At 51.3% G+C, this 14,205-nt stretch overlaps 1 protein-coding gene across 2 annotated transcripts; it reads right to left on the bottom strand.

Annotated features, from left to right (window-relative positions):
- CTRC (chymotrypsin C) lies at positions 1,852 to 12,651 on the bottom strand. Of its 2 annotated transcripts, NM_007272.3 has the most exons (8): positions 12,590 to 12,651; positions 10,703 to 10,794; positions 10,504 to 10,601; positions 8,522 to 8,647; positions 7,539 to 7,675; positions 6,343 to 6,488; positions 5,345 to 5,497; positions 1,852 to 4,519 (listed from the first exon to the last, which is right to left on the bottom strand). In NM_007272.3, exons 1-8 carry the CDS (start codon positions 12,627 to 12,629, stop codon positions 4,505 to 4,507), a joined length of 807 nt encoding a protein of 268 aa, NP_009203.2. In that variant the 5' UTR covers positions 12,630 to 12,651; the 3' UTR covers positions 1,852 to 4,504. The 2 variants fall into 2 exon arrangements, with proteins under 2 accessions (NP_009203.2, XP_011538852.1); XM_011540550.2 differs by lacking the exon at positions 6,343 to 6,488.

Below are 14,205 nucleotides of genomic sequence, written 5' to 3'. Positions count from 1 at the left end.
CCTTAAATCTCTCTCTGACCCTGACCCTCTTGTCTCACTGTTCTAAGGACCCTTATTGATTACACAGACCCCACCCAGATAATCCAAGATGGTCACTCCATGGGAAGATCCTTAATTTAATCATATCTGAACAATCTCTTTTGCTGAGTAAGGTAACATGTTCACAGGTTCTGGGGGTTGGGGTGTACACATCTTTTGCAGGGAGCATTATTCTGTTTACCATACATAGGCATTGATTCTTGGGCATAATAATGGATCTTGTCCCCAAAGCTGAGAATTTTACACTCTTTTTTTTTTTTTTTGGAGACAGTTTTGCTCTTTCGCCCACCCAGGCTGGAGTGAAGTGGCACGATCTCGGCTCACTGCAACTTCCACCCCCCAGGTCCAAGTGATTCTCCTGCCTTAGCCTCCCGAGTAGCTGGGATTATACGTGCCTGCCACCACGCCTGGCTAATTTTTTGTACTTTTAGTAGAGACAGGGTTTTGTCATGTTGGCCAGGCTGGTCTCGAACTCTTGACCTCAGGTGATCCACTCCCACCTTGGCCTCCCAAAGTGCTGGGATTACAGGCATGAGCCACCGCGCCTGGCCAAATTTTACAGTCTTGTTGAACAAACCGAACTGTGGGTTGTGTTTCACCATGTATTAGCTAACAAATGGTAATTTTTGTTGTTGTTTTTTCTCGTTTTCTGAGACAGGATCTTACTCTGTTGACCAGGCTGGGGTGCAGTGGCATGATCACGGCTCACTGCAGCCTTGACCTCCTGGGCTCAAGTGATCCTCCTGTCTCAGCCTCCCAAGTAGCTGCCACGACAGGTACATGCCACCACGCCTGGCTAATTTTTGTATTCTTTGTAGAGACAGGGTCTTGCTATGTTGCCCAGGCTGGTCTCGAACTCCTGGGCTCAAGCATCCTTCTGCCTCAGCCTTCCAAGTAGCTGGGACTACAGGTGTGTGCTACCATGCCTGGCTCCTGACAAACAATCGTTTTGATAATTAATCAGATTCCTGGAAGTTTGTGTAGATGTGGGGCTGGAGGCTTGCTGCTCAACGCTACAACTGTACCCCTTAAATAATTACTGAAACCTCCCTTTTCTCCTTTTCATTACCGCCTCCATCCGGGCTGCATTATTTCTGGCCTAGACTGCTGCAGCAGCCTCCTTACTGGCCTGTCTGCCTCCACTCTTGCCTGCTCCAAATCACCCTCCCCACAGCTGTCTGATGGACACTGTAGTGTACACATCGGACCACAGTGGCCACTTCTCTATCTAAAAGCCCTCTACAGCCCCCACTGCCCTCAGCAGGAAGTCCCAGCAGCCCCTACCACTGCACAAGGCCTTCCCTAAGGGCGTTTGCTTCCTCTCCAGCCTTGTCACTTGCCCCTCCAAGCAACAACCATCTTGGTTTGCCTGGGACTCTTCCAGTTTTAGCATTGAAACTCCCATGTCTGGGAAAACTCAGCCCAGGCAAACCAGGACAATTGGTCACTCTGCCCTTGCCCCTGACTTTATGCTCTGGCAACACCGGAGTTTCTTCCAAGCAGTCGCTATAGCTTTGCTCATGCTGTTCCCTTGGCTGGAAAGTGACCCCTTCTGTTCCCTAGTGAATTGATTAGCAAGTAACTGAAAATCTACTTCGGTGGCTAAAACAAATGCAGATGTATTTTTTTTCACGTAGCCAGACATTCAGAGGAAAATGGTGGCTGGCATGGGATCTACAGCTTGATGAGGTCTAAGCTGACATCTCTGTAATTATCTTGGCCACAAGATGGCTGCCTCAGCTCCAGGCATCACATCCATATTCAAGGCAGGAAGAAGGGGAAGGGGCAGCACCAGCTATGTCAGATCTTTCTCATCAGGGAAGTTTTTATTTATTTATTTTTTTTCTGGAGGATGTTTTACATTGCAGGGCAGCAGAGCATGGTGGACAAGAGCACAGGCCCTGGAGTCAGATCACTAAAGTCTGGATTCCGGCTCCACTACCTTCTAGTTCACACATTGGGAAGTCACTAACCCTGTCTGGCCTCAGTTTTCTCATCTGTAAAATGGGCATGATGTTAATAGTAACCTACCTCATGGGATTGTTTCTGGGGATTGAGATAATGTAAAACCTATAGGATAGTGCTTGGCACATACTAAGTGCCCAATAAATGTTAGATATTATTTAACATTGCTTAAATAACATTGTAATATTAATTAACATTTTAATTAGCTCCCTAACTACAAGGGATCTGAGGACAGCAAGCATTTAGCATTTATAACCCCCAATATAAAGACATACACAAAAGAAGATAGCTGGGAATGAGACCGGGTGTGGTGGCTCACACCTGTGATCCCAGTACTTTGGGAGGCCAAGGCGGGCAGATCACCTGAGGTCAGGAGTTTGAGACCAGCCTGGACGACATGGTGAAACCCCATCTCTACTAAAAAAATACAAAAAAATTAGCTGGGGCCGGGCACGGTGGCTCACGCCTGTAATGCCAGCACTTTGGGAGGCCGAGGCAGGTGGATCACGAGATCAGGAGATCGAGACCATCCTGGCTAACACGGTGAAACCCCGTCTCTGCTAAAAATACAAAAAAAAAAAAAATTAGCCAGGCATGGTGGCTGGCGCCTGTAGTCCCAGCTACTCAGGAGGCTGAGGCAGGAGAATGGCGTGAACCTGGGAGGCGGAGCTTGCAGTGAGCCGAGATGGCACCACTGCACTACAGCCCAGGTGAGAGAGCGAGACTCTGTCTAAAAAAAAAAAAAAAAAATTAGCTGTGCATGGTGGTGCGTGCCTGTAATCCCAGCTACTTGGGAGGCTGAGGCAGAAGAATCACTTGAACCTGGGAGGTGGAGGTTGCAGTGAGCTGAGATTGTGCCACTGCACTCCAGCCTGGGCATCAGAGCAAGACTCCGTCTCAAAAAAAAAAAAAAAAAAAAGAAGAGGATAGGTGGGAATGAAGTTTAGATTAAGCAAACTTAAGAAGGACTACGTTCTGTACTTGGGTACCTTCTAGTCAAATTTTAAGACCAAGCTTGGGCATCATCACCTCCAGGAAGCCATCCTGGATTCCTCCCGCCAACTGACACTGCTTCAGGTGTCCTGTTTCTATGCTTCTGGTCTGTATTTCTGTTTTCAAATGTATACCAGGGAATTTAATGATCTATTTACTGGTCTGTCTCCTGCACAGCTGGGGTACCCCCATCCTGGATTCCCGGGTCTGGGTGGTGCTGGGCTCCCTGTAGCTCCCACTGCTTGTTGAGTAAGTCAAGTCTTTCCTGAGACTTGCCTTGGCATCATGGGGGTGTGGGAGTCACACCATGGTCCCCACTCCCAGGGGACAAAGTCTGGTGGAGAAAAGGGACAACTCTTGGGCCAGTCTGAGGTAGCTGCAGCCGAGGGCTCTCCAGCGAGGGGTCCAGAGGCTGGGCTGGGGGCACCCCCACAGAACAGGACATTCCCAGGAGCAGGCCAGGCCAGAGGCCCCTATCATCAGGGTCTGATCCCCCTGGCATGTCCCTCCCTGGACATTGGATCTCTCTCATCTCTGGCTGCCCCTGTCATCAGGGTCTGATCCCACTGGCATGTCCCTCCCTGGACACTGGGTCTATCTCATCTCTGGCTCCTCTTGGCCTCTTGTCAGCCTCAGGAGAACTCTCTTCTCCTGGATCAGGCATTGCCAGCTATCCCAACTCCTTCCTCTCTCTGGGCCTCAGTTTCCCCACTTGTCTAATGCAATGAAAGCATATCCAGCTCTGACCACTGTGATTCTGTGTGGAAACCATTGCCTTCTTCAAACGTATGTCTCCTGAGGATGATGCTGGGGTCTCTTCCTCTTCCTGTACCCTCATCATGCCCAGCACAGGACTGGACACAGGGGCTGGCTCACTAAACACTTCTCAAAGCAGAGAGCCCCTGCCAACAGCAGCCATGGGGTCTGTGCTGCGGGGTGGGGGTGGGGGGTCCCTGCTAGGGAGCCCCTTCCCCAGGAGTGGTTGTCCCTGAGCTTTGGCCATCCTCCTGTGGCCTGGTCTCTCTGGCCTGGGGGACGCTGCTTTTGGGGAGACCCTGTCTTCCACCTGCTGCTGGGGGGCTGTGAGGACCTGCCAGGCCCCTCGGTGGAGGTAGGATCGGAGAAGCGAGTGATTTCATCAGGGTCTCACCTGTTCGCAGCTTGTGAGATGGAGCGGGGAAGGTGTCTGATGCGTCCTTCACTCCCATCCCCTCCGGCTTCACGCAGGACTCCCTGGGCTCTCCACCCCAGCCCCCTGCCTCCCATTAATGCCCCAGGAGGCTCCTTCCTTGGCCCTCTCTCCCGGCCTCTGTTTCCCCACCTGTCTAATGCAGGGTGGGGGAAACTGGCTGAGTGGGGTCTCTCTTTGGCTCCATAGTGTGGAAAGGGGCAGCACCAGAGAGGAGGGAAGCAACAGAAGCTGCACAAATCAAGGATCCAGGTGGCCCGAGGAGAAGGAAGTTTATTGCTGTTGCAGGGACTCGCTGCCGCCGCTCCCAGCAACAAATCACAGCTGCATTTTCTGGAGGAGCAGAGAACAGTGTGAGAGACTCAGGGCTGTGCCACCTTCTAGGGTGGCACAGGGCTCTGCCCGGAGGGTGGGTCCATGGGGGCATGGCCAGCAGCCCCCGGCCTTCACATGCCAGCCTTGTCCCTGTTCAAGGGGTCTGAGGCCCTCAGCATTTCAGGCCACTGTGCAAATGGGTCTTGGAACACACTCTGTCCCCAATGGGGAAGCCCCCAGCCCAGGGTGACCCTCTGTTCCCCTACTCTCAAGATGAGAAATGGCCATCCACACCATCCCTCTCCTCTGCTGGGCCATACCCTCAGGGGGTCAGTTTTTGGGGGAGACTGGTGTGGGGCCTGGATGGGGACATAAGTGCTTGATGAAGGCAGTGAATGGATGGATGGAGGAGTCAATGACTGTTTCCTTATTGGCACCCAACTCAAGGCCTGCTACTGGAAGCACTCAACCAATATTACTTGAATGAGAGAGTGAATGTGTGAAGAAGTGCATGAATGAATCACTGAATGAGCAAATGAATGAGTGAATAAATGGATGAATGAGTAAATAAATGCATGAATGAATGAATACATGAATGAGTGAATGAATAAGTGAATAAATGAATGAATGAATGCATGAGTGAATGAATAAATGAATAAATACATGAATGAGTGACTGAATAAGTGAATAAATGAATGAATGCATGAATGAGTGAATAAATGCATGAATGAGTGAATAAATGAATGAATGAATAAACGCATGAATGAGTGAATGAGTGAGGGGATGGGTGAGTGAGGGGGAGGGGCTGACAGGTGCAGGGACAGCTGTGGAGGCAGCACCCACCTCGTTGATCCAGTCGATGTAGGCGGACACCCGGGTGTAGACTACCGGCTTCTTGCGGGTGTTGCAGCCCCGCCGGGAGCCAAAGCTGACGATGCCAAACACCTCCCAGGAACCGTTCTCCAACTGGCAGTTCAGTGGGCCACCGGAGTCCCCCTGCACCAGACCGGGAGGGCATAAGCCACCAGGCCCCCCCCCAGAGGAAGTCTTGGGAAGCAGGACTGGGTTGGGGTGGGGGATGTGGGTTGGCTTCTCAGCCTTAGTTAGTGGACAGATTTGGCCTCAGCCTGCCCATGGTGAGGGAGGCAGAGGAAATGTGGTTTGCGGCTGCCTTGGCCTTATTCTGGGAGGCCCTGGGGTGTCAGACTAGCTCTTGGTTTGCTGTGTGATCTTGGGATGATGTTAATCCTCTCCGTGCCTCAGTTTCCCTAGCTGTTCAGGTCTCCTTATCTAAGACTCTGTGAGCTACTCAGAGCAGTGAGGATGCAGGCAGCTGTGCTAGAGGCCTGGGAAGGTGAGGAAGGAGGGTGAGAATGGGGAGAGGGTTGTGTGTTTGAAAACAGGACATTCCCTGATTGTCTTAGATGTTTTATGGTTCTGGTCTCCCTGGACTGGTGGAGCAAATGCATGGAGGAACATGTGTAGAGACTTCAGTGAAGCCTCTTCTCTGTCCTTTAAACTCATTTAGTCCTAACCCTGTGAAGTGGTTACTGTAACTCCATTTTACAGATGGAAAAACTGAGGTCAGAGGTTCAACGGCCCTCCCAAGTTTACGTAGCTCATAAATGGTGGGACTGGGGCTTGAACTCAGATACTCGTGCTCAATGCTCATGCTCTCACCACAGTGATGGGGGGTGATGGGCTTACCCTGAGCCTGCTGGGCCCAGCCAGGGCTCGCTCAGTCTCCTCCCAGGAGAAGGGTTTGGTCCATCGCACCCCCCTTTGCCCACATCCACTTGGCCACTTGGAGTAGGGACAAGGTGCAGAACCTAGCCACTCACATTGCAGGCTGAGATGACGCCATCGCCCCCAGCGCACACCATGGTTTTCTTCACCCTGAAGCCCCACCAGTCAATCCTGGAGCACGTGGCGTGATCCACCACGGGCTGCAGGCCCTGCTGCAGCTTATCAGCAATGGGGCCGTTGGCTGGGGAGAGAGTGAGCAGTGACCAGGGAGGCAGCCGGGAAGCCCAGTCCAGCCCCTCCCCAGGCCTTCAGGGAGCAGATGCCTGGGACAGGACCCAGGGGAGCGCCGGCTGAGACAGTGTGCGGACCACACACCTGCCCTTCATCAAGAGGCAAGCCAAGGTCCCAGAGGGTCAGGAGCAGGCTGCCGGCAGAAGGAAGCTACAGTGTTGAGTTGAGTTGTCTTTAAGTTGGATTCTGGGGATTTAATTGTCAATAATTTCCTGTGGGTCTCTGTCTTTGCTGTCACCCATTAAAAAGCCTTTCTCACCCCCAAGATTTTCTATTTCTCTTTCTTTTTTTTTTTGATACATACAAGGTCTCACTCTGTTGCTCAGGCTGGACAGCAGTGGCAAGATCATAGCTCACTGCAGCCTCAAACCCCTGGGCTCAAATGATCCTCTCACCTCAGCCTCCTGAGTAGTTTGGGACTACAGGTACACACCACCATACACTGCTATTTAAAAATTTTTTTTTTGTAGAGGCAGGGTCTCACTATGTTGCCCAGGCTGGTCTTGAACTCCTGGCCTCAAGTGATCTTTCCTCCTCAGCTTCCTAAAATGTCGGGATTACAGGTGTGAGCCGCCACAGCTGACTTCTCCCCCAGGATTTTCTAAATAGTGATCTGCATTTTCTAAGTCTCCCATAGTTTCATGATTTGCATTTAACTTTTAATTCAGCTGGGACCTATTTGGGCATACGGTATACCACAGATGTCATCCCCTACCCCTAATGGTTTATTTTAGTTTATTTATGTGACACTTACTATGTGCCAAGTGCTGTTCTGAGCACTTGACAAATTCTAATTCGTCTAAACTTTACCACATCTCTCAGAGACCCTTGCTAGAGTGTCTGTCACATGGTATGTGCTTAGTAAATATTAGCTGTTATTGTTACAAAGTTTACAAAGACATGAAAATGTGAAGGCAAAAAGGCAAAGTGGTGGACAAATGTGGGTGACGTCCTGCTTCCTTCAGGAAGGCTCTCAGGATTTGCCAGGGACGATACTCACTCCAGAGGCGGCCCCAGCCGGTGACATAGCAGGGGTAGTCCTTGGGGAGCAGGGAGTCCTTCTCTGGCAGGCAGGCCACCTGGATGGTGTCACTCAGCTCCACATGCTCTGCAAGCTTGATGAGGGCAATATCATTGCTGGAATCCAAAGTGGAGAGGGTGAGTGGGCAGGAGGGCCCTGGCCCCACAAGCTCAGGCTAAGGGGCTCGGGCTGTGAGTTGGGAGTCAGGCCCAGGGTGCTCAGGGGTCCTTCACAAACATCCTGACTGCCAGCTTCTTCTTGGCCTTTGGGAATATCAGGACAAACGATTCACCATCTAACATGATCACCCGCACTGTTGACATAGCTTCTTCTCACATGTCATCACCTCGGGAAAGGGTTAACAGAGGGAGGTGAGAGTGGAAGTGTCCGAAACCACTGCTGGCTGTGGGTCCATTGAAACAGAGGCTATAGCAAGTTGAGAACTCTAATGCCAAAAGACGGCACTTGCAGATGCCAGTTTTAATATTTTCATGTTACAAGAATAAAAGCTGGCCGGCCCAGTCAGACCTGGTTTGATTCCTAGTTCTGCCACGAAGTGGGCTGTGTGGCCTGGGACACAGTTCTTAACCTCTCTGAGCCTTGGTTCTTTGTCCAGGGCTGTTGTGAGGATTACATAACAGATGGCATATAAAGTGTCTATTGCAATGTGGGCATACAGTAGGAACTCAATAAAGGTGAGCGCTGGCCCAGCCTCTGGAGAGACACTGTGGGGGGCCTTCCTTGTGGACTTTCCTGGGAGTCTTGGCCAATGAGGGGGATATGAGGGGGTATTTGTCTCCACTTAGCATTTTGCCATTTTGTGTAAGACAGTCATTTGCTGGCTTTCCAGGGTGAGGATGGGGTGTCAGGTATGGGGTGCGACAGGCTCTGCGGCTCCGTCTTGGGGACCCCTCCTTCCACACTGCCCCCAGTGGCTGTGGGATGGGCAGTCTGTCACTCACCGCAACAGGAGGGCATTCCATCTCTTGTGGACGTGGATGGTGTCCACACCCACAAACAGGGATCCTTCTTCGTCTTCCACCTCCAGGTTGTTCTTTCCCACGGCCACACGGTAGGTCCGGGTGTTGCTGGGCAGAGGAAGGGGTCCAGGTCAGGGTGGCCCCCTGGTCCTGCCAGCCAGTGGGATAGAGAGGGAGCTCGGGGCTTTAGTGGGACTCATTTTGGGGGAAGAGAGTGTTCCCATTGTCCTTTCCCAGGGTGAGGGGAAGGGCCTGGGACTTGGGGTCAAGGGACTTGGGTTCATGTTGTGACTTTGCTGCTCCTGGCTGTGTAGCCTTGTGCCTCAGTTCCCTCATCTGTAAGGGGGAGGCAATGCTGGAACTTACTCCCAGGGCGGCTGTGAGAATAAACTCATCCAAGCTTCCACCGCCCTTGCCTGCACAGTTGCGGCATCCATCTAACTATCTCTCACTTGTACGCTGGCCTACTCCTGTCTATTCTGAACCCAGCAGTGTGGGTTTAAAAATATCTCCGGCCAGGTGCGTTGGCTCATGCCTGTAATCCCAGCACGTTGGGAAGCCGAGACGGGGGGATTGCTTGAGGCCAGGAGTTTGAGACCAGCCTGAGCCACATGGCAAATCCCCATCTCTACAAAAAATAGAAAACTTATGGTGAGGTTTGGGCTTCTAAGTTAAAAAACAAACAAACAAACAAAAAACAAGAAGAAAAATTAGCTGGGAATGCGTGGTGGCGTGTGCTTATAGACCCAGCTACTCGGGAGGCTAAGGTGGGAGGATTGCTTGAGCTCAGGAGGTCAAGGCTACAGTGAACCATGATGGTACCACTAAATGAGACTCTGTCTCTACCAAAAAAAAAAAAAGTGTATATGAAATATATAAAATGAAATATGTTGCAATATATATTTTTTATAAAATATATTAAAAATATTTTATGGAATATATAAAAATATGTCAGCCCACAACTCTCCTTTGCTCAGAAACCCTTCCAATAGCTCCATCTTACTCAGGGTCAAAGCCAAGGTCCTGATACTGACCTGCACTTATTTCCTCTCTAGCTCACCTCCCACTCTCCTCTAGCACACGCTGCCCCTGCCACACCGGCTTCCGCGTTATTTCTCAACCATACTGACAGGTCTCTCCTCCAAGGCTTTGCATGGCTGTTCCCTCCGCCTGGAACACCCTTCTCCTAGATCCATGATTTCCTCCCTCACTTCCTTCAGGCCTTTGCCCAAATAACCCCCTTTTAGCTCTCCGAAATGTCCCAAATATTTGCCAAATATCCCCCTTTCAGCTCTTCCCCTGGCCATCCCTTTTAAAACTGAACCCCTCATTCTGTTTGTCCTCTTCTGACCTTATTTTTATTTTTTATTTTTTTGAGACAGAGTCTCACTCTGTTGCCCAGGCTAGAGTGCAGTGGCGCCATCTCGGCTCATTGCAACCTCTGCCTCCCGTGTTCAAGTGATTCTCCTACCTCAGCCTCCCGAGTAGCTGGGATTACAGGTGCCCGCCACCACGCCTGGCTAATTTTTGTATTTTCGGTAGAGACGGGGTTTCACTATGTTGACCAGGCTGGTCTCGAACTCCTGACCTCAGGTGATCCGCCTGCGTCGGCCTCCCAGAGTGCTATGATTACAGGCGTGAGCCACTGCTCCTGGCCAATACCTTATTATTAGTATTATTTTAAATCACCTGAGATGCTATATATTTGTTTAATTGTCTGCCGCTCTGTCTTCCACAAAAATATAAGCTTCCCGAGAGCACAGACTTTGTCTTCACTGCTGGTTCCTGGCACATAATAGATGCACAATGAATACTTGACTGACTAAATGCACAACTGAGTTACTGGGTGTGAGTAGATTATGTAGCCCAGTGCCTGGAGTGCGGAGAAGCTGCTCAGAAAAAGCAGAGTATCAGGCTTCCGCCCCCGGACGATGGCCAGGTCTCAGGGTATCATCCCCGCACACCTGATGCAGTGGGCGGCAGTGAGGACGAAGTTGCTAGCAATCAAAGTCCCGCCACACGTATGCCTCCACGTGTCGTTCTTGAGGTACTGGAGGGAGATCTGCAGGAGGGTGGGGAGGGCTGTGTGTCAGCCTGCAGGTCCCTGGGACCCTCACCCCGCCACCCTCTCTATCTGTACCTCCCAGCCCTACACAGGCTTACCTGCCAGGGCCAGCTGTGGGGCCGGGCATCCTCTCCTCCCACCACTCGGGCGGATAGGTTGGGCGGGAAGCTGGGCACCCCACAGCTGGAGGCTGGGGAGACAGGAGGCCAGAAGAACCAGTGAATAGGGCTGGTAGCCCACGGGGAAAGGGGTGGGAGGGTGGGCAGGTGGAAGAAGCACAGAGTTGGGGCTGGGCAGACACGGGGTTGATATTTTACTGTGTCACGGGGGTAAGCCACCCAGGTCTCTAGGCCTTGTTTTCCCTTTCTGTGAAATGTGAAGAATCACACTAATGCGGTGAGTTTGCCCTGAGAACTGAATTAGACAACACATAAAAAAGAAAGCGTTTGGCCGGGCACGGTGGCTCACACCTGTAATCCCAGCACTTTGGGTGGCCAAGGCGGGTGGATCGCTTGAGATCAGGGGTTTGACACCAGCCTGGCCAACATGGCGAAACCCTGTCTCTACTAAAAATACAGAAATTAGCCAGGCGTGGTGGTGCATGCCTGTAATCCCAGCCACTCAGGAGGCTGAGGCAGGAGAATCGCTTGAGCCTGGGAGATGGAGGTTGCAGTGAGCCGAGATCGTGCCATTGCACTCCATCCTGGGTGATAAGAGCAAAACTCCATCTCAAAAAACAAAACAAAACAAAACAAAACTGGCTGGCATGTGTGCGAGTGCCCGGTACACCTGTGTTCTTCTGTCTGTTTTTAGGCCCCTGCATCATGGTGTGTGTGTGAGAGAGCAGTAAATCCACTGTTATAGCTGGGAAGCTGTGTGGAGCGGTCAAGAACACGTGCTGTTCCGCGAGACAGACGTGGACTCAAATTCTGCCTCTTCCACTAACCTGCCATGTGATGTCAGGCAAGATACTAAGTCGCACGGAACCTCGATGTCCTCATCTGTAAAATGGGGCTATGAAAAGACCCTACCTCTTTTTCTTTCTTTTTCTTTTTTTTTTTTTTTTGAGACGGAGTTTCACTCTTGTTGCCCAGGCTGGAGTTTGATGGCGCGATCTCGGCTCACTGCAACCTCCTCCTGGGTTCAAGCAATTCTCCTGCCTCAGCCTTCTGAGTAGTTGGGATTACAGGTGCCCGCCACCACGCCTGGCTAATTTTTGTATTTTTAGTAGAAACGGGGTTTCATCTTGTTGGCCAGACTGGTCTCAAACTCCTGATCTCAAGTGATCCACCCACCTCGGCCTCCCAAAGTGCTGGGATTACAGGCGTGAGCCACCATGCCTGGCAATAGACCCTACCTCTTAAGGTTGTTTTGAGGATTAAATTGGCTCCTACATGTAAGGGGCCTAGCATAGCGTCTGGCACATAGTAAACACACAGGAAACAGGAGCTGCTATTATTACTGTTGTTGTTGTTAGCTGGAAGGACTCTTCATTAAGTGCTCTCCTTTGCCAAAAAAGTTAGTGAGATTTAGAGAGGTGAAATGACTTTTCCAGGTCCTGCAGAGAAGAAGTGGCATTTAAGCTAAGTCCCTGGGCTCCTAATCTGGGAAAACGCCACCAAAATGATGGAATGGAGAATCCTCAAGGGAGAGAGAATGCTGGGAAAGGCAGACCCCGATGGTCCCTGGGGTGAACCCAGGATGAGGCATCTCGTGTCCCTCCCCCTTGCGTGGTGCTTTCCACACCTCATTTCTAACTGGGGACACGTCAGATCATCTTCCCTGTTTTGCAGATGTGGAAACAGAGTTGGCAGGCAGGCTGTGGCTTGTCTGACACACAGCTGGTTGGTAGCATCTGAACCCACAGGGGACCCCAAAGTGTCTTACCTGGAGAGCAGAGGCCCCCCCACTCCCCATCCCGTCCTTGCCCTGGAGGCCAGCCCGAGCTCACAGCCTGCTAGCTGCAGCCCCACCCCACCGCTTACCACAGGCCAAGAGCGCAGCGAGGACAGTGATGCCCAACATGGTTAGGTGCTCAGGACTGGCTGACCATCGGGATGGGCTGGGGCACACTTATAGGCAGGAGCAGGTGAGTGCACCTGGTCAAGGCCAAACCGCCCCTTGGAGAGAAACCTGCTCTGATAAGGCCCTTTCCCTGACCTTGGGTGGTTACTGTTTAATTTGGGCAGGAGACAGGGCTTTCTTAGAAGTATGGATTTTCCAAATATCCTGAAACAGAAAATTCTGAGTTGCAGTGCTTTTTGGCATCCCCCACCCCACTCTGTTTGACGTGTGTGTTCATTCTCTCTCCCTACCTTATACTATTTATTTATTTATTTGGAGATGGAGTCTTGCTCTGTTGCCCAGGCTGAAATGCAGTGGCACAGTCTCAGCTCACTGCAACCTCCACCTCCCGGGCTCAAACGATTCTCGTGCCTTAGCCCCCTGTGTAGCTGGGACTACAGGCGCCTGCCACCACGCCAGGTTAATCTTTTGTATTTTATTTATTTTTTTGAGACAGGATCTTGCTCTGTCACCCAGGCTGGAGTCTCAGCTCACTACAACCTCCGCCTCCCGAGTTCAAGCGATTCTCCTGTCTCAGCCTCCCAAGTAGCTGGGACTACAGATGTGTGCCACCATTTTTTTTTTTTTTTTTTTTTTGTATTTTAGTAGAGACAGGGTTTCACCCTGTTGCCTAGGGTGGTCTTGAACTCCTGAGCTTAGGCAATCTGCCTACCTCAGCCTCCCAAAGTGCTAGGATTACAGGTGTGATTACAGGCCGTTACCTTATTCTTTTTAGTTATTTATTGGGCACCTACTGTGTGTCAGGCATTGCGCTCAATTCTTCTTGCATTATCTCACTTAATTCTTCCAACAACATGAAATAGACGCGGTTATCTGCTCTGAGGTGAGATGAGAAAGGACCAGGCGCAGTGGTGCATGCCTGTAGTCCCAGCTACTCCTGAGGCCAAGGTAGGAGGATCGCTTGAGCCCAGGAGTTCGAGGCTGCAGTGAGCCGTGATCGTGCCACACTGCATTCCAGCGCGGGTGACAGAACAAGACCTTGTCTCTAAAAAAATAAAATAAAAGTGAGGAAGCTGAGACTCAGCGGGTAAGTGACCATCTAGGGTCACACGGCTGGGCAGCAGCAGAGCCAGACTTTGAAGCCAAAGCTTCTAACACCAGCCTGGGGCTTCAAGCTGTGGAGACATGCTGCTCCTTCTCTGCCTTTCTAGTGCTATTGGATCGCTTCCTGGCTCTCTCTCTGTCTCATCTTTCTAATTGCCTGGGCTTGATGCACTCCTGCACCTGCCTCCAGGGCTGTGGTTGGAGGCAGGGATGCAGCAGGCTCTGGAAGGTGCTTAGTTGGCCAGATTCCTTCCTGGAGTCAGCTTAGTTGTAGGTCCTCAGTTTCCCCATCTCTAAAATGGGCAAAAGGACCAGATGGACTTTCAGGCTCCTTTCAGTTCTACAATTCTGTAACTTGAATGTCAAGGTCAGTGGCAGATCTGAGGGCCCAAAGCACTGAGTAGCAGAAATTCTACCAGAGCCTCCGGCATTCGGGGTTGGCCATCCCTTGGAACATGTGGTTTGATCCATT

Source organism: Homo sapiens, chromosome 1 (assembly GCF_000001405.40).
Source record: "Homo sapiens chromosome 1, GRCh38.p14 Primary Assembly".
Lineage (NCBI taxonomy): Eukaryota > Metazoa > Chordata > Mammalia > Primates > Hominidae > Homo > Homo sapiens.
Note: the sequence above shows the minus strand (reverse complement) of the source record. Positions and strands in the feature narration are given on the sequence as shown.

Coding starts and splice junctions, on each gene's coding strand:
- CTRC (XM_011540550.2), bottom strand. CDS start 12,629: ATGTTGGGCATCACTGTCCTCGCTGCGCTCTTGGCCTGTG. Junction 10,795..12,589: donor CGCTGCGCTCTTGGCCTGTG/GTAAGCGGTGGG, acceptor CTGTCTCCCCAG/CCTCCAGCTGTGGGGTGCCC. Junction 10,602..10,702: donor CCCACAGCTGGCCCTGGCAG/GTAAGCCTGTGT, acceptor ACCCTCCTGCAG/ATCTCCCTCCAGTACCTCAA.